The sequence below is a fragment of the Homo sapiens genome, chromosome 8 (genome assembly GCF_000001405.40).
Source record: "Homo sapiens chromosome 8, GRCh38.p14 Primary Assembly".
Lineage (NCBI taxonomy): Eukaryota > Metazoa > Chordata > Mammalia > Primates > Hominidae > Homo > Homo sapiens.
In genome coordinates this window covers 126,620,536-126,646,651 of record NC_000008.11, presented here as the reverse complement: position 1 = coordinate 126,646,651, position 26,116 = coordinate 126,620,536, and the positions used below count along the sequence as shown (strand labels likewise).

At 40.5% G+C, this 26,116-nt stretch overlaps 1 long non-coding RNA gene across 5 annotated transcripts in view, besides 3 other annotated features; it reads right to left on the bottom strand.

Moving 5' to 3' along the window:
* LOC105375751 (uncharacterized) overlaps positions 1-26,116 on the bottom strand; it is a 463,156-nt gene that overhangs the window by 374,380 nt on the left and 62,660 nt on the right. The window contains exon 3 of one of the 5 annotated variants that reach the window (NR_188073.1): positions 11,880-12,107. The exons of the other annotated variants lie outside the window; for them this stretch is intronic. This is a non-coding gene — a long non-coding RNA (uncharacterized LOC105375751). Of the gene's footprint in view, positions 1-11,879; positions 12,108-26,116 lie in introns of those variants that run through there. 5 annotated transcript variants of the gene reach the window in all.
* Positions 10,952-11,474: an enhancer, noted in NCBI's record as "H3K27ac-H3K4me1 hESC enhancer chr8:127647423-127647945 (GRCh37/hg19 assembly coordinates)". NCBI's record gives its function as "activates a minimal SCP1, AML or CMV promoter by ChIP-STARR-seq in primed H9 embryonic stem cells {active_cell/tissue: H9 hESC(primed)}" and the evidence as "EXISTENCE:reporter gene assay evidence [ECO:0000049][PMID:30033119]".
* Positions 10,952-11,648: a biological region, named in NCBI's record as "Sharpr-MPRA regulatory region 547".
* Positions 11,354-11,648: a silencer, noted in NCBI's record as "tiled region #547; K562 Repressive non-DNase unmatched - State 24:Quies". NCBI's record gives its function as "represses a minimal TATA promoter and a strong SV40 promoter by Sharpr-MPRA in K562 cells {active_cell/tissue: K562}" and the evidence as "EXISTENCE:reporter gene assay evidence [ECO:0000049][PMID:27701403]".

Genomic DNA, 26,116 nt, shown 5'->3' with positions numbered 1-26,116 from the left:
ATAAGATTTGCACAGCACATGTTGCTTCAGGACCCCTATGTGGTTCTATCCCACATGATCTTATTCACCCGTCCATCTTCTACTTAACATGCCTGACTGAGGCCCCGTACACAGGAACAAGACCTCACGTACCAAAATCAAATCTTAAAAGACCTCAGGCTGCATCCCCCTCTTTCTGCCTATGAAGCCTGTACACAGTGCTGTCCCCTCCCTGTCCCATGCAATCACACACACACACACACACACACACACACATCCTTCCGGTCTTTGCACAGGTGGGGTGCTGCTCTTTACCTGCGATGTCCTGCCTGCACTCTGCTCCTCCTAGCACATTCCCTGGCTTGCTTTTCCACCTACATCAGCCCATCAGGATCATTTTCTTCTCTGAATACCCACAAGCTTGTTAGTGCCTCATCACAACTATTGACTGACTGGCACTCTTCACTGTTTTTAATTCTATTTCATTGTGTCTTCTGATACAGATATCTTAATAATATCAGATATTGAGATATCTAGATAATGTCTTAATTTGTATTTGAATACTACCATCTCAATTACATATAGAAAACATTTAATCTTCAAAACACCCCTGCGACATATATTCATGTACATATGTAGATATATAGATGTAAGGCCTTGTATATGAATCTTATTCCCATTTTATACATGGAAGGAAAATGGAGGGCAGAGTGGCAACAGAATAAGAAAAAGAGCACAGGCTTCCGCATAGACAGACTGAGATTTAAAGCTGAACTTAGACTGAAACTCACCGAGTGGCCTTGGAGAAGTTACTTGAACTCCCTGGGCCCATAAGTTGAGAATTACAATGCCCCTTCCATGGATTTCTTTAGGAGGACTAAACAAGATAACTAGTGATAACAATTGCTACCACTCAAAGAAAAAACATCATGTACCAGGCACTGTGCTAAACACCTTATATGCTTTATTTCACCTAATTTTGTCAGTCTTATTTGATATTTCCTAAAATTGCACCCCTGCAGGGACTGAGAAAACTGAGCAAATGTGCATAGACTATATGCAGAACACTCCCTAGCACACAGTAGGAACACAGCAAAGAGTGGCTTCTCTTGGCATTGAAGAGGATGAGCTAGAAGCACTGTCCAGGAAGAGCAGGAGAGGGAGGGAAATGAAGAGGTAGAGGGATGACTACAATGCAGTTTCCACACTCCTGCTGGAGAAACTGCCCTGGATAAGTCAGAGACACGTCCATTGTTTGGCAGATTGCACCTTTTAAGCAATGTTTCTGTTTGTTTCTACTGCTGCAACAAATTAGACTCTGAAACAGTAAAAAAATTATTCCCTGCAAGAATAATAAATTATATTTATTTACTTACAGGGCAAGAGTAACACCACCGCAGTCTAAATATGTATCTATAATGGCAAACATGGAAAATTAACTGACAATGGTAACAAAAGAGTTCTGATTTCCTACATGAGGACATGACCATAAGCACCAGTGTATGATTTTTCTGGGCCCCTGAAATACATGGGCTACACCTCAAGAATGCACTTTAATGGAAAAGCTTGCAGAAGTGGAAAAGCCATACTGCCTCCCTTCCTGTTCCTTGAACCCAGGGAACACAATCTTGGCATTTTCTATACCTGTACCTGGAACAGTGTTCTCCAAGAGAGCTACATGGTCAACCCCCTCACTTCTTTCAGATCTGTGATCATATGTCAAGCCATCAGAGACTCCTCCAATCTTCTTATCTGAAATAGCATCCTCCCTACCAGTACCTGCTGTCTCTCCAGTCCTGCTGACTTATACTTCATAGCATTTATTACCATCTGACATTTTAAATGTCACTTCACTACTTTATTGCTATAATTGTATATATCTATGGATTTGTTTATCTATTAATGTATTTATCATGTTATGTATTTGTGTATTGTTTATCTATCCATAGTAGAATGTAAATTGCACAAGAACAGGAATTTCTGTGTTCATTGTAGCAGTTCAAATATTTATAACAAAGCCTGGCATATAGTAGGTGTCTTAGTCTTCTCAGGCTACTACAGAAAAATACCAAAGACGGGGTAGCTTAAACAACATTTATTTCTCACAGTTCTGAATGCCAGGAAGCCCAAAACCAAGGTGACAGCATGGTTGGGTTCTGGCGAGGGAGGGCCTCATCTTCCTGGCTTGCAGACGGCCCCCTTCTCATTGTGTCCTCACAGGGTGGAGAGAGAGCTCCAGTCTCCTCCTCTTCTTATAAGGACACTAATTCTAGTATGGGGGCCCCATCCTTAGGATCTCATCTAAATCTACCTCCTCCAAATACCATCACGTGAAGTATTAAGGCTGCAACATATAAATTCTGGGGGAACACAAACATTCAGTCTATAACAGTAGAGGTGAATAAATATTTTTCTGAGCAAAGTTCATCTTTATTCTTATCTTTATTTAGAGGTATGTTTTATTTAATTTGTTTTTAAATGAGAATTATAAATAAGCTGCAAAACTGATTCCAGTTGTGCTTTCTGTCCTTTCTCTTGGGTCCCTGGTCTTGAGTTACCTAAATGCTACATTGAATGAAGAAAAGAAGACAGAACACATATTAACTGTGTCCATTTTTTAATCTGAGGTTTTGACCAATAATTTCAGACTGATTATTCTGGCGCTACCCAAAGAGAACTGAGTTGTATCATTGTTCCTATCTGAAAGACAGAGAAGCTGTGATTCAGGGTAGTTACAGAGCTTGCCCAAAGTCACACAGCAATTTAGCCACTGGGGAAAAGGGGTACAGGTAACTAAAGTTAGAACACAGAAATGTAGATTCCAACTGAGGGTTTTTATTTGGCAAAACCAGGAAATTGATTACATGCACCTCATCACCACCCTCCACAGCACCCCTATGGCCATGGCAGACACTGATCACCCACTACCTCCATGACACACTTACCCTGGACCAAGGGGTGATGCTTAACACAGCATTCCCACTAGCCTTGGGCAAGCAATGGATGTTAAAGGAGATAAACACTCCTGCTTGCCTTCTTTTGCTTTTTATAGTTTCAAGAATTTTATTTGATTATAATTCAGTGAAATTTGGAAAACCAGAATGCTTTTTCATGATTACCTGTTCTCTTATGTACAGATAAAATTAAATTCTGCCTCTGCGTTTTTTGTTTGTTTGTTTGTTTGTTTTACTTTAAGTTCTGGGATACATGTGCTGAACGTGCAGGTTTGGTACATAGGTATACATGTGCCATTACCTTCTACCCTATTGACACTTTTGCACTCTCCATTTCCCATCCACAAAATGGAGACGGCACATGACTTTGACTCTAGAAAGGGTCTTCTAGGAATTACTTACTAGAAAGCTTTCCCAATTCCTCAGTACCATTTCAACCTGTACACAATATGTACAAGTATATTACTGTTATTTTGCTATATTGCACTCAAATGAACTGTGTATTTTATATGCACACACAGAGAGTCATAAAATAGCATTATAAATTATATGTAAAGACAAAAGTAGATGTTTTAAAATATTTATTTCATTGCCATTACAGATACATGTCATATTTATGCTTTAGAGAACTAAGAATGAATCTAATCTTTTGACACAAAATGATTACAAGTTTCAAATGGTCCTAAATCTTGTATGCCTGCAATATCAGATTCAACACATTGGTCTTGATAAAGAATTATGTTTATTTATTTGTGTTGTATGGGCCAAGATCAAGAACAGTCCTCCTTTTAGGGAACATTTTCCAGAAATCTGGTGTATATCCTCAAACAATAATTGTGATGCACAATTATTTTGCAAATAGGTAGTAAAGATAAAATGTCTTTATACCTGATTTCTTAGTTACCACCTGGGGTTCTAATTAAAATGCACTTTTGGTATATGAAATGGCATCAGATAATGTTATCCTTATCTCATTGTGTAATAATTACATCTGTGGCTTTTGGTTTCATTTTTAATTAGCTTTCACAGTTCTCTACAAGTGAGACAATTCATTTTTTAATGATAGATAAAACCTTAAAGGACAAGGAAAACATCCGAAGGTAATTAGGACACGAGGAATAACATGTCAATGATTTGTGGTCAACTAGATTTTATTTCGCGTACACTTTTCTCTCCACTTATCTTTTCCCTCACCCTTATCAGTTCCTATGGCAAGGACACTGTGGCGGGGACCTCATCAATATTCTGTGAAGGCAGAAGCCTCTGATGAGAGGTGGCTCTCTCCACTAGTGAAACTGCATTATGGCATCTTGTCCAGCTTCATTCATTCTCTATCAGAGCATTACACCATACTTAACCATGGAACTCTGGATGGCCAGGGGTATAGGGCCTGTCAATATGTCATGTCAGAGGAAGAACCACAAGTGTCAACAGTGGTGCCTAACCCAGGCTGCAGAGTAGCTGAAGTGGAAAGTGAGGTGGGTGCTATAATTGTGACATGACTAAATTAAGACAGAATTCTGGAAGTTGTCATTCTCAACAATAGCAGGGATAAGAGCATGACTAGAATCAAGAAAGAAAACCGAGCAGGCAACAAAATGCACATCAAATTAATGAACAGGAGTCAGAAGACTATAAGCAAGCCATGTGCGTGCATGTAGAGGAGGAACTCTTGAAATCCCTGCTAACTTTTAATGCTAGAACTGGGGCATGCATGTATATATGTGCAACAGAGGAGAGATAGAGGAGGGAGAGTTCTCTCCCTCTGTCCGGTGCCTTAGAAGCAATCCTTAGTAGCTAGTAATTAATTCAGTGTAACATGGCTATGGGTTAAAGATTGGTAACATGGAGAAACTTTATTACCAATGCAGTGTGGCCCAGTCTCCATTTTCATTTCACTCTAATCTTCCCGGTCTCCTGGTCAAATGGCAAGACACATCTGGAAAACCAGGTTAAAAGGATACCCAAAGTGGTTTCCAGGATACCACAATTACACACAGTATTGAAACCAGAAGCAGGGGAGTCCTCATAGATGCCTCTATACTGTCTGCGGCTGAAAACAGCACTTTAAAAGCCAAATAACTTGATTTTACCACTAACTATTAGCTGTGCAAAAATGAGCCTCAATGTCCCCAGCTGTAAAACTAAGATAAGACCGCAGTTCACAGAGTTGCTATGAAAAGCAGATGATAGTAATATCCATAAAAACACTTTCAAAACAGCAAAGTGCTACATCAGTATAAAGAGTTACTCTTCCCTAACAGAAGGCCAGTGACATTTTCAACAAAAATAGGTGCCTATGACCAGTGCCAAAATTTTAGGTGATGGGAGTTAAAAGGAGAACAAGGAACAATAAAAAAAAACCAGAAACATAGAGAAGCATGCATGGTGAACACTGTCTCAAGCTCTTTCATGTCCTATCGTTGATTCATCTTCACAGAAACCCTATTTTATCCCCATCTCTACAGGTAAGCACACAATCGTAACGAACTTCCCCAAGCTCACAATGCTGTTCTGTGATCTGGCTGTGGCTGATTCCCAAGTCCATGCATTTCTCATATACTACACTGACTCTTAGGACTTCTTTCAGCAGCTTTAATTCATTCTCCCACTTTGGTCTCTCCCTGTCCCTTAGTTCTCAATGAAACTAAACTCACAGAAGCCCAGCTGAATTTCCATCTTTGCCATTAAACCTTCCCCCCAATTCTCTGAGTTGCACTGTCAGTCTCTTTTCTGACTACCTCTCCACCAACCTCCCATTAGCATCTGCCTTGATGCTCTATGAAATCATGCAGCTGACTAAGCTGGAATCCAGTGGTACTTTTCCATGAAGGCCTCCCATCATCAACACAATGAATATCCATTTTCATCTAGCACCTACAGAAAAGAGGACTTTGGTGATGGGCAGGGGCAGGTAGAGGAAGGAGGTTGGATGGATACTATGATATTTAACCTCATTTCATCCCTCGGACTGAGTTTATGCATCAGAAATAGTCACTTAACTTCAGATTTAAATAAAATGCAAAGTCATTTTATATTAAAAACTAGAGAGGCCAAATGACATCTAAGTAACAGCAATTTTATATTTGAAATAAAAATTCAGCAGGCATATGTTAAGTACATGAGGCTCTGTGCCAGGGGATTTTTCTTGAGTTGAACATAGTAATTGTTGTAGCTAGTAACTATCCCTGTTTTCTAGCTAATTTGCTAATTCAATTTTACCTCCCGTGCTTGAGACATGTCACTACCCTGTTTAAGTTCAATGGTTCCCCAGTACTTGCAGGATAAATTCTTCATGCCTTTGCTGGCAACAAAGGCTTCTGTTCAAGACCCCAAACTGTATGTTCTGCCTTGGCATCTAGTAGTTCCCTAAAAGAACATCCTATCTCAGTGTTTCTTGTTCTCAAATCATGCTTTACACATTTCTACTCCTGAGCCATTTTCTCTCCCTCTCTCTTCCCTTTGCCCTCCACTTCCCTGCCCAAACAAGCATAAAGCCTAAGAATAGTGTTCCTGCTCTCATTGTCCCTACATAAGCTTCACATACCCTATCTTCCCTCATCAAACCCCATGTGTCACCGTATGGAGAGACCCTGTCATCAGTAAAGAAAGACCTATTCAGGAGCAATGGAGAATCAACTGAGTGCTACAGGAGTCATAAACCACCACTCCACTCTAGATCCACATAAACTCTCCTGCCCTAAAGAATATAAGTAGCACACGTGCTGCAATCTCATCCACCAAGATTATCTGGTGAGATTATTGTCCAGTAAAATCTATTACTGTATAATATGGCAAATAGTATCTATGTATATAAACTGCATAAAATGGCAAATAGACTTTCCTCTCTCTAGGCAAAAGAATGTTGATAATCAGCTCCTTCTGAGAGATTAACACTCTGCAAACACGTCTGAGCACGGGCTGAGTGAGACATCTCGCTGGGCACTTTACACGGATTATCTCACAAGGACCCTCACAGTACCCTGTGAGGCAGAGACTAAGTTTGCCTTCAGAGAGATGGGGTAGCTGAGGCTGCACAAGATTAAGTAAGTTGTCCAAGGTCACATAGCTAGAGTGCCATTAAAAGGAACCTGGCAGAGCAGGCAAACCACTCCACATCCCTAGAGGCTACTGCAAGGTGACTCCTCCCCTAGTCATTGTAGACCATTCCAACGAGCACTCTGAGAGTCTTCCAGGAGATTCCATGGTTCTATCTTTTCTGCTCCCTGGCAAAACTCACAGATTCAGAATAAGAAGAAAGGTTTATTGTTTATTCTCAGGGCAGTGGCAGAATATTGACCACCAGTTAATTCTGTTAAGTCCATTAACCCATTTATGCTGGAGGTTGCAATTTTTTGAATTGCAGACGTGTGTGAAAAATCAGACCTTGGTCATGACCTTGAGCAGTAGGATATAAATAACTCCCACATGCTTAGCGTTCCAATAATGGAACACTAGGCATAAATGTGGAATGTTCCATTATTGGAATGCTAAGCATAAATAAATGGGCAGCTGTTTTCCCTACATCACACCTGCCCAGGATAGTAAGGACCATAGGGATGACTTCAAGCAAGATGCCCTTGGGCTTTGATGGTACCTGCCAACCTCTGACACATCAATCAAACTCAATGGCCTATAATCTTCCCCATTTGCAGAACTTTCTATCACTTATAAGCACGATAGTAACATTATCTCATCTGATATTACAAGCACATTTGTGTTATGATTTTCAACATCCTCAATTTACAGGTAAGGAAACAGAAGTTCTAATGACAAAGCATCCATGAACTCATCATAGGTGAAAAGAGAGGGTATGTTGTATTTCTTTATCAGATTAGTGGTTATACAATGTTTATTTTGTCATAACTTATTGATATGTATATTGTTTCGTGTACTTTTCCATGTGTTACACTCCCAGTAAAAGAGGTTAAAGATGGGTATAGAAGGACATGAAGGTATTCATTGGGTCTAATCTCATTAAAGAGATACTTTCTTTTAACATTTCATCCAAATTACTCTTTCACACTCAGTGAATATTTGGGTATTTACATTATGTGCAAAGTACTGTCCTACATGCTAGAAATAATTATTTTAAATCAAAAGACAAATGCTTAATAGTATTTATCTAACTTTAACTTAATTTCACAAGAAACTTCGTTATAAAAATAGAACACTCCTAATTAGCTGGGCGCGGTGGTGGGCACCTGTAGTCCCAGCTACTTCGGAGGCTGAGGCAGGAGAATGGCGTGAACCCAGGAGGCGGAGCTTGCAGTGAGCTGAGATAGTGCCACTGCAGTCTGGCCTGGGTGAAAGAGCGAGACTCCGTCTCAAAAAAAAAAAAAAAAACACTCCTAATTCCCCACACTTAATGTGTACACATACACCCTACACACTCACACAAACACACACACATTATTCTTTGTCATAGCTGCGTAGTATTCCATTTTAAAAGTGAACAATCATTTATTTAACAGTCTCTTTCTGATTGAGTTTGTTTCTAGTCTTTGTTATTATATTACATACTGCAAAAAATCTGTGTGTATGCATCTTTGTTCATATGTTCAGACATATCAATGAGATAAAATATTTAAAATGTCAGTCCTTGACCAAGCATTTTTAAAACTTCACCAGTTATTGCCAAATTGCCCTCCAAAGTTTGCACAAATCCTTGATGAGAATATACATTTCTTCACACCTCGCCAATATGATGAGACTCTGATATTTGCCAATCTAACCTGGGAAACTTTTCTCATTGGTATTATCATTTTTATTTAGTTAATGATAAGTGATGCTGAGCATTTTTTCATATGCTTATAAGCCAATTTTGTTTTTCATAGATCAGTCTGTTCATGTTTTTACCTGTTCATATTTATTCTTTCTGTCATCAAATGGTCTCTCACTGATCTGCAATAGCTCTTTATCTGTTGAGAAAGTCAATCCTTCATTTGTCATTCTTCATGCTTTTTTCTTGGGCAGAAATGTTCGATTCTTATATAGCCAAATTAGTCAGTATTTTCTCTTAGTGTTTAGAAGGGTCTTCCCCATTCCAAGACTACCTGAAGAAGTGTTTTCTCTAATGTAGCATTCTTAAGGGGACTTGCTCGATGAGGTTTTACTCTTTCTAGAAAAAAGAATGTTGATAACATTGGGAGGGTGAGGCAGGCAGATCATGAGGTCAGGAGATCGAGACCATCCTGGCTAACATGGTGAAACCCCATCTGTACTGAAAATGCAAAAAATTAGCTGGGCGTGGTGGTGGGTGCCTGTAGTCCCAGCTACTTGGGAGGCTGAGGCAGGAGCATGGCGAGAACCCGGGAGGTGGAGCTTGCAGTGAGCCGAGATAGCACCACTGCACTCCAGCCTGGGCAACAGAGCCAGACTCCATCTCAAAAAAAAAAAAATGTTGATAACAAAATACTGAGGTACAGTCCATTCATGTTGAGTTTAATACCTAAAGATTAATTTAATATGAGATCCTACAAAGATGATCAAAAGATAATCCAAGGAAATCAAAGAAATAATTGAACAATACTAAAAGTATTGTAAAACATGGCAAATAGACTTTACTGAACAATTAACTGAAGTTTTATGATGTACAATAGCCTATAGATATTATTTGGTGGGCTTCTGCTATACACCCCAATTCCTCGTCACTAAGGAAATGATAGAAACACTTAGCCAGACATCATCTCAGCTCAGTGAGATGGGGTATCTGAAGCTGCACAATTCCTCTTCTTTTTACCTTCTCCAAAAAGTTCTTTTAATGTAATGCTGTACCTCCCATGTGCTCTAGGCTGGAATATTTCTTCACATGTCAGAGATCTTTTTTATTTGGGTTGGCAGTGTATTCTCAGTTTCTATCTGTACAAAGGGCTCATAGTTCACTCAATGTATGGAGGCTTTGCCTGCAGTATTCCCGAGGAAGCCCCTTTTTTTCAACAGGGTCTGCAATACCTGTGCTGCTAGTAACATATTAGTCTGAGATTTTTCCATTTGCCATAGATTCCTTCACCCTTTTGCTCTGTGCTGTCTCTGGTATGGGTGAAAGAAAGAGAATGAGCTCTAATATTTATAGTACCCACCACGGTTGTTAGGCCCTGTACACTCTTACTTCTTTTCAATTCCTCGCAAACTACTTCCTCACCTTATTATACCACTTAAACTACTTATAGATGAGGAAACGGGGGCTCTGGGTGCTGGAGTAATAGGCCAAATGTATCATGGCCAGGTAGAGGTGCAGATAGGATTTTAATCCAGTTCAGACTGCAAAGGCTGGGCTCTCATGCAACGGAGAATATATACATGTGAGAAATTGAGAGGTACAACGGGATCTCAATAGAGGGACTAAAGCACTTTGCTTGAAGAGATCCACAGAGGAGACACTTGGAAGAGGTCTCAATAATGCCAGTGCCCTTTGGGTTTAGCACAATAGACCATTACAGAAAATATCCTACACCCACTAATTGGAACAAACAGGGCACTCCAGGCTTCCCTTTCCCTTTCTGGCTTATTCTCCGATGGCTGCAGATGGCAGTGTGGCTGGCTGACTTTTTGTCTGGACAAAACCTACTCCCTACAGCTCATGTAATTTCTCAGATGCTGCCAGGCCACCTCCAGCTCCTCATTTCTCTCCTCCTCACTATTTTGTATTCTCCACGCTGCTCTCCGTCCTGTGGAAACGAACACATCAAAGCCATATGGAGTCATTCTTCCTGGGCGCCCGTGTCCTTTCTCTCTTCTTCTTTTCCTGGAACATTAATATTAATAGCTTGTTTCTTTGCCGTTGCTTTCTTCTCCAACCTCAAGGGACTGGAACCTTTTCTTGGTCTTTGTGCCAGATGGAGCACTTGTTTGAAGGCGTGGTAAGGCGTGCTAGGAAGATGATGTCTCTGATGTAATCCTGGGCCACACAGTGCAAGCATGTGATGCTACTCCGCTACCAATTCAGTCAAGCCAAATATTCTTCCTAACATTTGTCCTTTTGGAGGAGGAGGGACAGTCACATGCAAACAATCTAGCAAAACCCAGAGAAATCAGTCCTAATTAATAGCCATTGGTCTCTGTGCTCAGCATTTTGCATGCTTCATGTCATATAATTATCACAATTCTTCCAGGTTGATGTCAGTATCCCCATTTTATAGCTATGAAAACTAAGGCTCCGTGACCGTCGGCATCTGCCTAATGTCACATAGCTTGTAAGTTTGAGAACAGAAATGTAAATCCCCTTCTCACTAACTCCGAAGCCCATGTTTTAAGCCTTCACCATCAACTATTTCCTGTCCTGTAGCCTCTATTCAGGCTCCATTCCCAGAAAATGGAGACAGAAAGAAAGGCTTCTTTTGTGCTCAGTCAGTGGGGCCCCGCGTCAGAGCATGAGACCTGGCACAGCAGGAGCCGGCCTTTGTGTGTCTGTGTTCTCCTCCCGCGCACCCACTCCAGTCTGCCTTGGCACCATCTCTGAGCTGCACAGAAGCTCTGGCACGAGAGGGCTGTGAAGCCAGAGTCCCACGGCCAGAACTGTGCTGGCCAGCCCTCAGAGATGGCCCCAGTTTGCACACGCTGCTCTCCTGCCCTGAGCCACAGTGCAGCTGCGCGGCAGGAATCACCAGAGGGATGTGCCAGGAAGACTGGGGTGAATCCCAAAATGACAGTGGCCATGTTGGAGGAGGGCGGAGGGACAGAGCTTCAAGTTCATGGGAGATAAATGATGTGGAAGTGACAGACACCACCCTGGATTTAAAAAAGAAAATTAATGTATTTCTTCAATAATAAAAAGCTAAAATAGCCAAAATATCTAGGAACTTTATCACGGTTTACAAGAGTTTGTGTGGTCAGCTTGCTACCAAAGCATTGGCCTGTCTGGATGTGGGCTGAGCTTAGGCTGGGAGCATTCCAAGGCACCAAGGGGACAGAGTAATTTTGCTGCTAGAAAACATGAGGAACCAGGGCAAAAGAAGAAGCTGTTTAATGAATTCAGGATCCCCAAGACTTTTCCGCAAATGTCTATTACGTCAGCTAGAATGCTTCCAGAGCATCCCACATATCCTAATAATTCTCATCTTTTATTTCTTGCTGCACCCATTGAGCCTATATGGCGATATGTTCCCATGTAATGTTCCTGGGGAATCCCAGCAATAACTGGGTGAGATATTTGCAGGATACTTGCAGATCATCCTAAAGTGGGGGAGGGAGAGAAAGAGCAAAAATTAAATAAATACATTTATTTATTTATTTGAGTTATTTATTCATTTTTTATTGAGTTATTTATTTATTTATTTGAGGTTAGTTGAGAATTTATAATTTCTTACCACCCCTTGGGTTATGGATAGGTGGCATTGCCAGTAATCGAATGTATTCATTTAACTTTTCTCTTTCTCTCCCTCCCCCACTTCAGGATGATCTGCAAGTATCCCTCAAATATCTCACCCAGTTATTGCTGGGATTCCCCAGGAACATTATATGGGAACATATGGCCATATAGGCTCAACGGGTGCAGCAAGAAATAAAAGATAAGAGTCATTAGGCTATGTGGGATGCTCTGGAAGCATTCTATATGCTTCCCAGCTATGGCATGGGAAGACATTGTGCACCCAACCCAGAAGTTAGGACTGGGTCACTACTCTAAACAAAGGTGAAAGGTAGGTAGCTGGAAGGTCTATACCCCTCTCACCCAGTAAATCTGTCACTCTGAAGAGTCTGCTGAAACCGTATAAAAAAGCACATCATGAAGCTGTGCCTGCCTACATCAACATCCATCTTGCCCTCACACATAGCCCTCAAAGAGCTTGTTTGCTATTCCTTTAGTAAAATGGAGTATTTTTCTAATTAGTTTCTTCCTGCTTCCATTGAATGAAAATGTAAAATGTTGCCGGGCGTGGTGGTTCACGCCTGTAATCCCATCACTTTGAGAGGCCGAGGCGGGCGGATCACCAGGTCAGGAAATCGAGACCTTCCTGGCTAACATGGTGAAATCCCGTCTCTACTAAAAATACAAAAAATTAGCCGGGCATGGTGGGGGGCGCCTGTAGTCCCAGCTACTCGGGAGGCTGAGGCAGGGGAATGGCATGAACCTGGCAGGCGGAGCTTGCAGTGAGCCGAGATCGCGCCACTGCACTCCAGCCTGGGCGACAGAGTGAGACTCTGTCTCAAAAAAAATAAATAAATAAAATAAAATGTAAAATGTTTTAATCTGTTTGAAAACATACCAAATTACTGGCCTGTATGGGGGCACCCATACATATGAGTGTCTGATATACCTTCCCATTGCATCTTATACTTCTTTTGCGTAACACTTTTCACAATTGAACTAATGGTGGACCTAATTATTTCTTGAGTGTCTCTCGCTCTGCCTCCTGATTGTATACCACATGAGGGCAGGGGCCGTGACTGGCACATCACACCAAGTTCCTTCAATAGTCATTGGTTGAATAAACAAAGGGATGCAACTGACTGCATGGCCTGCCCCATCACACAGACAGGGAATGCCTACATTTGGATTGATTAGGACTGACTTCAACACCAAGCATATCAGAAGCAGATGCTCTTTCTAGAACTCCCTCTCCCTGCATGTGTGATGAAAACATCCCCATTGACTCTTATGATAGAAAAACAGATGCTGACGAGGATGCGAAGAAATAGGCAAGCTTTTACACTGTTGGTGGGAGTGTAAATTAGTTCAACCATTGTGGAAGACAGTGTGGCGATTCCTCAAGGATCTAGAACCAGAAATACCATTTGACCCAGCAATCCCATTACTGGGTATATACCCAAAGGATTATTAATCATTCTACTATAAAGATACATGCACATGTATGTTTATTGCAGCAGTATTTACAATAGCAAAGACTTGGAACCAACCCAAATGCCACCAATAATAGACTGAATAAATAAAATGTGGTACATATACACCATGGAATACTACGCAGCCATAAAACAAGAATGAGTTCATGTCCTTTGCAGGGACATGGATGAAGCTGGAAACCTTCATCCTCAGCAAACTGACACAGGAACAGAAAACCAAACACTGCATGATCTCACTCATAAGTGGGAGTTGAACAATGAGAACACATGGACACAAGGAGGGAAACATTACATACCAGGGCCTGTCAGAGGGTTGGGGGGAAAGGGAAGGGAGAGCATTAGGACAAATATCTAATGCATGAGGGGGTTAAAATCTAGATGATGGGTTGATAGGTGCAGCAAGCCACCATGGCACATGTATATCTGTGTAACAAACCTGCAGGTTCAGCACACGTATCCCAGAACTTAAAGTAAAATTTAAAAAGATAAATAAAATAAAATAAATAAATATAAATATAAAAAAGAAAAAGAATAACAGGATGAGAGGAAAAAATAGGCTGGCTGAGAGATGAGGCATTTGCCTACTAGAAAGTCAGATTATTAATATTCTGCAGAAAATAAGAAAATGTATTTAATAGTCTATAGCAAATCAGAAATCCAACACTCTAAGAAATAACTTTCTGCTGGACGTTTCAAGTAATCCAGACTCTAATTCTACTGCTCGTGAAAAACTGTGTGAGTCCTATAGACAGAGAGCCAAGGCTGAGTTACAGTTTGCAAGGCCAACATATTTCTGAGATCGCTCCAGGAGACCTAATGGGAAAATTCAAATGAGGCCACCTGCTTTATTAAATGTCGAAAGGAACTTCCCCCCCACCCTCCTCCCCGAGTGCAATTTATTCTTCTAAACTTACAACATGGGAAATGGGATTTCTCAATGGAATTTTCCTTCGAAGGTCATCGTCTTTACCAAGCTACCAAGCTTTTCGTTGAAAATGGATTTAAATAATTTGGGGTCTGGTGTGTCAGACCTTGTCTTTTTCTTTTCAATTTTCTTTTTCCATTCAGGAAGAGACTCATTCTGGTGTAGTCATGCCCCATTGAACAGAGCCAAACCTGGATATAATTATTTCCTCTGAAGTGAAAGAGGCCTAATATGGAAGAAGCTATTGAAATTGAAATCTCAGAAAATCACCAACCCAAGGCAAGTGTATTTTTATCAATGATGGATTCTCTGGATTATCCCAAGAGGCAGTTATTACAGTTTCATTATATATATATATATATACACACATACATATATATATACACACACATATATCTGTGTGTGTATATGCATGTGTGTATACACACACAAATATTCACACATATATCCATGTGTGTATATAAATACATATATAATTACATATATATATATAGAAAGAGAGTCTTCAGAAGGAAGATATGCAGTAATTAGCAGAAAAAACAGAATTGCTAACATCTCATTAGAATAGAAAGTGAAGTCATTTTTTTTAAACTGTCATATATTTAACTAAGAAGAATCAGCATTTGAGTGCAAGGCTACCAGTCAATAATGAGGTAAGGAGGCACAGTTTCAGGAAAACTGGGGTGACTTCTCTGTGCACCCTTTGTTCCACACTCAAATAATCGCAAACAGACCCTCCACCTGAAAAGCCACGTGGTGAGTTGAAACTCCTGTTCTGCCAGGTTTCTCTTCTTGTTAAAGAACCACTGAATAGATATCCGTGCATACTCTTTGGCTTTAAGAGGTTTCCAGTTTCTAGGATCATGCACAGTGATGTCACACGGGCATGGCTTTGTTCCCTGCTTCCTTCTCTCTGTTATTGTTTCTAGAGACAAAGACAGCCCTTTAGATGTCAGAGTCTGAACAGGAAGCCTGTTACTCCATTGGAGCCTCACTAGGCAGGATTCTGAAGGAATCATAGATTGTTCCTCCTATCAGCTCTGCTTGGTTATTGGTTATTTCTGTCTCTTTTCTTTCTTGAGCTCTAACTTGGCTTTTACAGAAAATCCACTGGAACCACGGACTTTAAAGTTTACATCTTATGTTCTGTAGTCCCAAATACACACCTCTTCTCAGTCTTGGCCCAGAAAATGGCAGGCTTCATAGTCTTCACAAGGAGAATACTTGCTGTCATTCTTCAAGGCAAGGCTTCATCTCTCTATATTATTACTCCCACTCTTTTCATTGCCTGAAATATCATTTCCTGTCTTTCCAACCTGGCTTTCTCCTTTGCATCTTTTCCGAGTCAGTTTCAGCCTCCTCCACCCTCTACACCCCTCTGGGTGGGAGTGCCTGGCGCTCCTATGTGCTCCCACAAAGCTTTGTACTTTTACTGTTCACTGAACTTCGGTTGACCTGATCACGAGTCTGTCTCCTCCATGATCTCTAAGCTCTTGGCCGGTAGCTCTTTCCAGCTTTTAAATCTATAGTGCCTAACAAAGTGGGAAATTTTAAAATAATTATTAATTAAATTAATTTGACATTATGTTTCCTCTTTTTTTTTAAATCGTTTATAGAGACAGATTTCGTTAGGTTGTCCACGCTGGTCTTCAACGCTTGGCCTCATGTAATTCTCTTACCTCGGCCTCCCAAAGCACTGAGATTACAGATGTGAGCCACCGTGCCTGGCCCTGTTACCTATTTTGTGTCTGAAACAGGGGGCTAGGTTATGCTGCAGTAACAAACAATACCTACATCTCAAAAAAGCCTTTAAAAAATGGTATTTCTGTGTGTCAACACTGTGTCAATCATGTGCCATTTGGGGCCTCTGTTTCATGCTGGGCCCCAGGATGATGGCGCAGACACTATTTGAAATATTGCTAGGTTGTTCATGGAGGAGGTAAAGGTCTAGAGGGACTTACACTGTCAAGTAGAAACTCTGACCCAGAAGTGAGACACAACCCTTTCATTCACAACTCATTGCCATCCACAACTCATTGGCAGAACATAGTTATATGGCCCCCACCTAATTACAAATGGACCAGCAATTTCACTCCTGATCCTTGAAAGCAGAAAGTAGAATATTTGAAAATTAGCACTAATGATTTCAGAATAGCTATTGAACAGCTTTACTCTAAAGTCCTGGAGTGGGGGGGTGGGGATGGGGTGGTTTGTTAGGATAAAACAGAAATCCTGTCTCATTTCTCTGTAGAATGTAAACTTAGCACTGTATCTACACCAACTGACCATATGTGGCCTGCTGTTCTCACAGGGTTTCCTCCAACCCCAGCGTGCTCTCACTTCTCTGAGCTCTTACAACCCATGCTGTTTGTTACCCCTGGAACTCTCATTACCCCCTTCTCTGTTCCTACTTGCCTTCACCTGATTATGACCTATGTATTTTCCAGATATTTTAGTATATATAACTTCCTCCAGGAAGCCTTCATTAGAAACCCCTCACATACACATCACCATATTGCGGTTAACTATTCCTTGTCCCTATTTCTCAAGGGCCTTTTTGTTTTCTCCGTCCTAGAATTTACTAGGTTTTTTCAATAGTCTGTCACTTCCCACTAGTCTAAATGTTTTCACGACAGTACAAATCCTGTCTTGTTAAACACTGTGTTCCCAATGCTAAACACATATTAGTTGCTCAAGATGTATCTTTGAAGAAATGAATCCATTAATGATTTTATATATATATATATATACACGAATAATAGAAATCTCAACTTTTTGTATACTGTTTCAAGGTAGTTTCTCCAGTGCTCTGACTCTTTTACTGCCTTCCAAGAGAAGAGATCCATTTCTGATTTCCTCCTTGGATTTAATCCAGCAGCATTCTTCAGTTCACATTCCAACACACTTCTCTCTGGCCAAAACTTTTAACTCATCATTTTTGTTTTATTTCTCAGTTGTGAAAAGACCTCCTTGGTTAGTAGAAGACTCTTTCCAGAGCTCTCCACTCTGAAGTTTGTAAACTCATTTCACACACACACACATACACACACACACACACACACACACACACACACGAGTGCGCACATTCAGAAACTTGACCTCCTACGTTTAAAATGGAAGATATGACCACAACTACCTCTGGAGCTCTGTTGGTTCAGACACTGATTTTATGATCTCATATCTTCACTACATTCCAATCTCTTTACCAGTGCTTTTTTTCTTAAAATAAATCCCTCAACCGCTGACCAGTGTAGCTGTCGCTAAGCAATTTTAGAAGCATTAGTCTTATCTGGAAGAAGGTTATATGTTAGGTCATTACTCCTTAGGATAGGCAGAAAACTTTTCCTTGCTATCAGCAAGATTGCCTGAAATTCCACCAATCGTGGATTTATTTATTTTTGACATTTATGTGTCAAATTCTATGCTAGCTGTTTTCTCACAGAGAAGTCATGGGTGTCAGGGTAAATCTCTTTTCTTCTTCTGGTACCCCGCTTCCCCAGTGATGTAATAATCACCTGAGTGAGACATGTCGTAATCTTCTCCCTGCCTCTGCCTGTGTCTCACACCTCCTCATTCTCCCTTAGGGAGGCTTTTCATGACTTTTACACTGGGGCATCCATCCCTGTCCCTGAAATCTGTTCCCACAACACACTGCACGCCCCCAAATTCGACCCTTCTCACATCTTGTTATAACTGCTTGTTCCATGTATGTCTTCTTCTATAGAGGGTAATCTTCCTTGAGAGCGTGGTTTGAGACCGTCTCACTCAACATCTATTTTCTGATGCCTAGTACGTCATTCAAGTACTTCATTAACAGGCTAAGTGCATGAAAGAGAATGTTTTGGTCTGGTTGAGACTGAACTGGGAGTTAAGTTATACAAGCAATGTTAAACTCTCCAATTCTCAGGCTAAGCATGTGCTTAGGGCAGTAGGGAAAGAAAAAAAAAACATTTAAAAGCATTATAAAAATCCTTTAATAAACTTATCCAGAACTTTGGAATCAAACCATCCTATAAACAGCTATTTAATGTTACTATACATAAATGCTTAGTGTTATTTCAAAAGACCCCAATTTTATTTCTAGCTAATTCCCAGAGTAAGAAAGCCTTGATCTAGCTCATAATCCAAACATCTTAATATATCCTCACCCAGCTACTCTAGCTACAACTTCCCGACTAAACAACTTTCCAATGAAAAGCTAAATGTTTGAAGTGAAAAAGATACTCCAACCGTTGTGTGCCTGAGGAACATATGGAGAAAGGAAGGGACTCTTGCTGGACTTGTTTTGGCTGAGCACAGAAGCTTCTGGAGCATTGCGTAAGGCGTTACTGAGAAAACATTCCAGTAAATCTCATCTGCTATTTCATGTGTGCAAACCTTAGTGCATTTAGCAGTTCCCAACTTTCAAATGGGTTTAATTCCAAAAGCACACTTCTTTGTCAGATTGTCTTAAGAAGTCGAAGCCATTTTCCCATAGAAACAATACTGTAAGTGATTGTAAGTTTTCCAGGCTGGCTTACCAAAACCTACTGATTCCGTAATTTAGCTGAAACACACTTGCCATTATGAAAGTAGAAAATGATGCTATGAAGGTGCCATTTTCTTTTAAATGCCATAAAACATATCTAAACATGGAGAATATGGCAAAAATATATTTAAAACTCACAATAACTTTTTGGGGTCAAGGTCTGTTAATACATAAAACAAGAAAAATTAAGAATAACTGTTTTACATTGCCTATTGGTACTTATAATAGCAGTATGAAACACATTGCTAGCTGTCTCTTAAAATCCATTCTTCCCCTCTTCCTTTAGAAAGAGAAACTAACACTTAACTTACAGCTGGATGAAAGGTCAGCCAGAATAAAGAGTCTGTTGCACAGCCCCTGTACAACCAGGTATGGCCATATGATTCAATATGCCAATGGGGTGCATACAGAAATGATGTGTGTAACTTCCAGGTTTTTTCCTTAAGGCTGTAGCCCCTGCCCTTGAGTTGGCTAGAATGGAGAAATACTGGGAAGTTATACTAGACAGCACAATTGAAGATGGAATCCTGGAGAATAATGAAGCCCAAGATAAGTTTCTTAGACAATATTGTAGAGCAAGGCCTCCCTATCAGTTCTCAGCCATCTCTGAGGCAATCTTTATGTCAGAGAATAATAAAGTTTTAGCTTGTATGAGTTGCTTTTAAGTCTTTCTGTGATTGTAGCCAGATATAGATCTGAACTAATACAAGGTGATCTAGGTGGAGAATCCTGTGGAGATTGTGAAGAAAACATCTGAGAATTTCCAGGATGGTGCTAATTCAGAGAAAGATTTCTGTTCAAAACTCAAGATTTTTCTTTTCCTTAAAAAAATGCTATTCTTCCCTGATGAAGATTTGCCAAAGTAGCCCATGGAGATATTTTCTCTGGACCATATTCTATAATCTAAATATTTGTTTATGAAATTCCCTCCCTCCCTTCCTTCTCTCCTCCCTCCCTCCCTCCCTTCCTTCCTTCCTCCCTCCCTCCCTCCTTCCCTTCCTCCTTTCCTCCCTTCTATCCTTATTTGAAGCCCGAGATGTACCAGTCATTGGGCTGAGAGTATAAAATTCCATAACGCACAATATTTTCTCCTCAAGGAAGTCACAGATTCATATGAGAGACAGAAAATGGAACAAATAATAGCCCTGCAATGTGATACGTGTTATAATGCAGTTATTTCCAAAGCTCTAGGGAAGCACAGAAATAGAAATGTTTTTTGAAAATTATCACAAACTTTGCCTCAAAAACTGAAGAATGGGGGTTTGGGAGTCACAGCTAAAGGGTACAGGATTTCTTTGTGAGTTGATGAAAAGATTCTAGAATTTATTATGGTGATGGTTGCACAACTCTGTACAAGCCATTGGACTGTACATTTTAACAGCTTGTATTGCTCATCAGGGTCTTCCAGGGCTGAGAAGTGAGGACTTACCTTTCACAGCAATCGCTGAATTACGATTACTTAATTTGATTTTTACAATTCTCTGTTTTATTAGACTGTATCTGTATTCTCACTATTGTATCTCTAGTGTTTGCTACATGGTCAAACACATGCTCAGCAAATCCTTGTGTGTTTGAAGACAAATCAAAATCTTTATAGAGAGGCTATATCTTACAGATTCAAAATCAGATATTCTCTAATATATATATAATATATATATTCTCTCTATATATATAATATATATATTCTCTCTATATATATAATATATATATTCTCTCTCTATATATAATATATATATTCTCTCTCTATATATATATAAAGACAGTGAAACAGAAATTTTTTGTGAACCTGGAAATTAGACAAACATGGATTTCAATCCTAACTCCATTATTTTCTGATTACGTACTTAGCAAGTTAATAATTGGCAAATTAATGATTCAGCTATCTATGCTTCTATTTCTCCCTTTGTAAAATGGAGACAATAAAGACCTTCTATGAATGTTGTAAAATTAAAATTATGTATGTAAAACGCTTAGCATATTCTTTTTGCACAGAATAGTAATAAATGGTAATGAATTGAATGACGCTTAAAGACCTTCTGGATTATTTTGGGTGTTTTATAAAAAGACATAGAAAACACACACCAATTTTAAAGGAAGAAAGAGTGTATCAGTGCAGAGATATTACTCCATTAGGCTTTAGAAACTTATCTTCGATGAATTAGTCACTCTGATCATATAACTATGGAAACAGCACACACGGCTGAATCAGAAGCTCCCAGCCCCACCCTGCAGAAGCAATAGAAACTAGATTAGTAGTCAAGGTGCCCATGGGAAATAGGGACAGGGAAGAGATTTTAAGTCTTTTGGTGCTGGTCCACCCTACTCCAGGAGAATCCTTCACATTTAATGAACACCTTGTGAGTGTCAGGCACTTTGCGGGGGTTAGAGAATTGAATACAAATCCCTTATCACATGACATTGGAGCCACAGTCTCTTAACCTAGATGTTTGCCTAACTAAACCCAAAGACTCTGTGGTCACTTATGAGGCCCTTGTTATCTCTGAATCAACTTAGTACAGTTCTGGCATGTAACTACTTGTAGATGAAATGAACTAATGTCTTTTAAAATAGCCCCACAAAAGTCATGGTGGCAAATAGTGTCCTTTTTAGGTAAATAATAATAGCCTTAAACACTTAACAAAGCATCTCATCTATATGGTGCTCTGTGTCACATGTGTGTGATCAAAATAGAAATGAGAGATTGGGCCTTCATACTGGGTCATATCAAATGACATCCGAGACTACTATGTCTCAACCGTTAACACTCTGGAAACACCTACTGAAAACACCATGTGAGCATGCTTATACACATACACACATACACAGACAGCCCATCTCTGTTGATTGTTGACTGATGGCTCACTGATACCCACACACTCCTCACAGGAATGAGCACCTTAACTAAATATTCATTCTAAGATTAAGAACAGACATTTGATTTCCCAAAGAGGCACAATCTTAAAAGTATTCTGACCTGGTTCCAGGGAGCATAAATTTACATAAATTAAAATATTGAAATCATGATTTTCTAAGGAGGATTCCAGAAATGACTACTATATTTAAAATAATGAACAGAATGATGGCATCCACTACAAAAGGCTTGACTGGCTCAGGCTTGCCCATGGACTCCTTTGCATGGGGTTTAGCCTAGATGTTTAAAAATATACAGATTCACCATCCCCATCTCTGTCCCTTGAGACTGTCCTCATTCTGTCTTTATAAATCTATGCCCTGAGCCAGGCGCAGTGGCTCATACCTGTAATCCCAGCACTTTGGGAGGCCGAGGCGGGCGGATCACTTGAAGTCAGGAGTTCGCAACCCCCTGACCAACATGGCAAAACCCCGTCTCTACTAAAAATACAAAAATTAGCCAGGTGTGGTGGTGAGCACCTGTAGTCCCAGCTACTCGGGAGGCTGATGAAGGAGAATAGTTCCAGCCCAGGAGGCGGAGGTTGCAGTGAGCCGAGATCACGTCACTGCACCCCAGCCTGGGCAATAAAGCAAGACTCTGTCTCAAAAAACTAATAATAAAAAATAAAAATAAATAAATCTATGCCCTGGGTTTCTCTATTGTTGCTGGCTTCCAGGTGATTCTGGTTCCCAGTATGAGAATCACTAACTTGAGTCAGCTCTAGGACCTTTCCATTACTGATGTTCAATGGGTCAGCCGAAAGAGAGACTGCAACATCTGCCACCGTCCAGATCGGTTGCCTGGTTGGGCTACCTGGAAAGGTGCACCTTCCTTCCTTAGCCTTTCTCAGATGTCCATCTTGAAAGCTGCAAGCCAGGTATGGGAAGCTATCCATTCAAGCTAGATGTTAGCTCTTCAGTCAACAGCCTTCTTTTTACTATTCTCCCTACACAAACTTCCAAAGATTTTCCCTGGGGCCATGTGTGAATCTGATGAGTCTAGAGATGTCAATCACTGTCCATCCTCTGAGCTTCTCTAATCCCCAGAAGCTAAACCAATCACTCAGAAGCATCGGCTTAAAGGAAGAAGATTCTTTCCCACTGGTCTCCAGGTTGTTTGTTTGTTAGAATCCCAAGCCCCGTTTTATCTAGACTCTGTGATCTAAATCCCCTTTGCAAAGATTCCAGAAACAGGAAACAAGGTTGCAACTTTGTATTGTGGGTGTGAGTGAGGCCTTTGGGTAAGTACAACTAAAGGAGTCAGACTAATCATCCTGTAATCTTCCTTAACATCCCACATCAATTTCATTAAATATTTATCTGTGCAACTTTTCTCTGATAGCACCTAATACCATTGCAATTTGATAAGCATTTGTATAATTACTTAATAAGTCCCCAAGAGACTATAAGGGTTATGGTGACAGAAACCTTGACTGACTTTCTCACTCTCATCCCCAGCACCTGGTGCAGAGCCTGGTGCCCCAATAACACAGGGAAATGGGTCTTGATGTTGTTGTGCAAGGGTGTTGGTCTCCTGTCCTCTGGGTAAATGCTTTTTCAGGAACAGTCAATTAGTGAATATTTATTGCTTAGTTTGACCATGGGAGTTCTGAGTTCCCTAAACTGGGTTCTAAGAGGATTAAGCAATCATAAGATGCCTATGGGCAAGGCAAAGGCAGATCAGGAAGCTGAAGATAACTCTGGCTTTCCCTTTAGAAGCCATCAGCCAACAATCAACAGAGATGGGCTGTCTGTACTAGTCAAGGTAAAGGGTGATAAGGGAAAGGATGATGGGCAGGGAGATGTCCAACTTTAAAAGATCATTATTTTGCACTTCTGATGACTCCCTCACCATACACATTGCAGGGTTGATGTGCAGTGAGAACTGAATGTTTCGCTTCTGGCAGAGAAACATAAACAAAGTCTATATTCTAAAGGACATTTACTGGGATTTGAGGAATTAGGGAAGGGAGAAAATAAGGAGAAAGGCATAACAAGAGAACAAATCTGAAAAGAGAAAGAAAAGTAAGTCCAATACTTTTTAACTAGTCAATCTAGGTACATTTTTATTCCTGACTTAAAAAGTATTTCTTCTCCCAATAAGCTAGAGCATCTCTCCTAAATCCTAATATAGTGAGGATAAGATCAATGTTTTATATTTTACAGAGCCAAAGAAGCTAAAGAGAATTTGTAAGAATCCAGCGCAATTCAGAATCAGAGGTTTTAGAGCTGGGATGGATTTTCCAGAAATCTTCTGTTTCAAACACCTGCCCTAGGATAGGTAATGTTTAATTTTCCCCATTTTATAAATAACATGAGCCAGTACTAAGCCTGTGCTTAAGTCTGAAGAGTAAGAAGGGGCTAAGAAGAGTGTAACTTGGTCCTCGAAACACAGTGTTTTGCAAAAAAATCTGCTCATGAACTAACAGCCAGTTCCTTATCGAGGTCACCCAGTGTTTCCCAGACTTGTCAGAATTTATTTCAAAAATCTTAATTAGCCGGATGCGGTGGCGGGCACCTGTAATCCCAGCTACTCAGGAGGCTGAGGCAGGGAGAATTGCTTGAACCCAGGAGGCAGAGGTTGCAGTGAGCCAAGACTGTGCCACTGCACTCCAGCCTGGGTGACAGAGTGAAACTCCATCTCAAAAAAACCTTATAAGTGATTTCCATGTGCCAGGTTCAGCACAAACTCCTTTAATCCTCACAACAATCTTGGGAGGTGAATACTTTATCTCCATTTTACTACGGAACAAACCAAACTGCAGAGAGCACAAGTAACCTACCCGAGATTGCGCAGCTAGTAAGTGAGTGAGCCAGGACTCTGAACACAAATACTCTACCCCTAAGCCTGGATCTTAACCTCTGTGTGTTTGATGCCTATCAATTTTATATTCTACCAATGCATTCCTTTTAGCAAAAGAACCATCTTCTAAATATGACTTTTTCTTCTCCCTTTTGTAATCACCCAGTGGGTTTGTCTTGTCTGCTGCCCAAAAAAGTCAATGCACTGAGAACAGCAGTTTTTTTGTAATTTAAAAAAAGTTTAATTAATCCAGGGCTAGTCAAACAGAAAACAGAGTTTATTGTTCAAATCATCCTCCCTGAGAACTCAGAGGCTAGGGTTCTTATGGATAATTTGACGGGCAGTAGGCTAGGGAAGGGGTGCTGCTGATTGATTGGGAATGAAATCATAGTGATATGGAAGATGGTATTTGTGTGCTGAATCAGTCTCTCAGCAGGGGGTGTAGGACCAGTTGAGTCATAAGTCACAGGTCCAGATGGGTTAGTCAGTCCCCAGAATGCAATAGTCTGAAAAAAATCTCAAAAGCAATCGAAGGTTCTGCAATGGCAATGTTATCCACAGGAGCAACTGGGGAAGTTACAAAGCTTGTGACCTTCAGCACAGTAACCCATAATAGCAAAGCAAGCTATGCCTACATTTTAGGAGAATTCCGGTCCCTCCTATAATCCTAACCTCGTGGCTTTTCATTAGTCTTACAAAGGCGGTTTCAGTTCCCGAACAAGGAGAGGGTCAGTTTCAGAGAGGGACTATTATCATTTTTGCTTCAAAGTTAAACCATAAACTAAACTCTTCGTATGGTTAGCTTGGTCTATGCCCAGGAATGAGCATGGACAGCCAACCTGTGAGGCTAGAAGCAAGATGCAGCCAGCCCTTCTAGACCTCTCTTGCTGTCATAATCTTTGCAAAGGCGGTTTCACTCTCAAAGAAAACTGTGTTTAGAATGTCCCGATAGTCCCATTACAATATAAATATCCCAGAGGAATGCGAAAATTAAGGGTTAAGAAAGGTTACACCAGGCATCGGGTCTTACCTCTTGTGAGAAGGCATCCAAGAGGGGAAAACACACCCAAATTATTACCCCAGAGAAAATGGGAATTAAGTGCTAAGAATCATTGTGCTCCAGTGCCCATTTTATATTTACTCATCATTTTCCCATCTATTTGTGAGGCTGTGTTGCAATAGCTCTCCTTCCCCAAATGAGTGTTCATTTCCCCCAT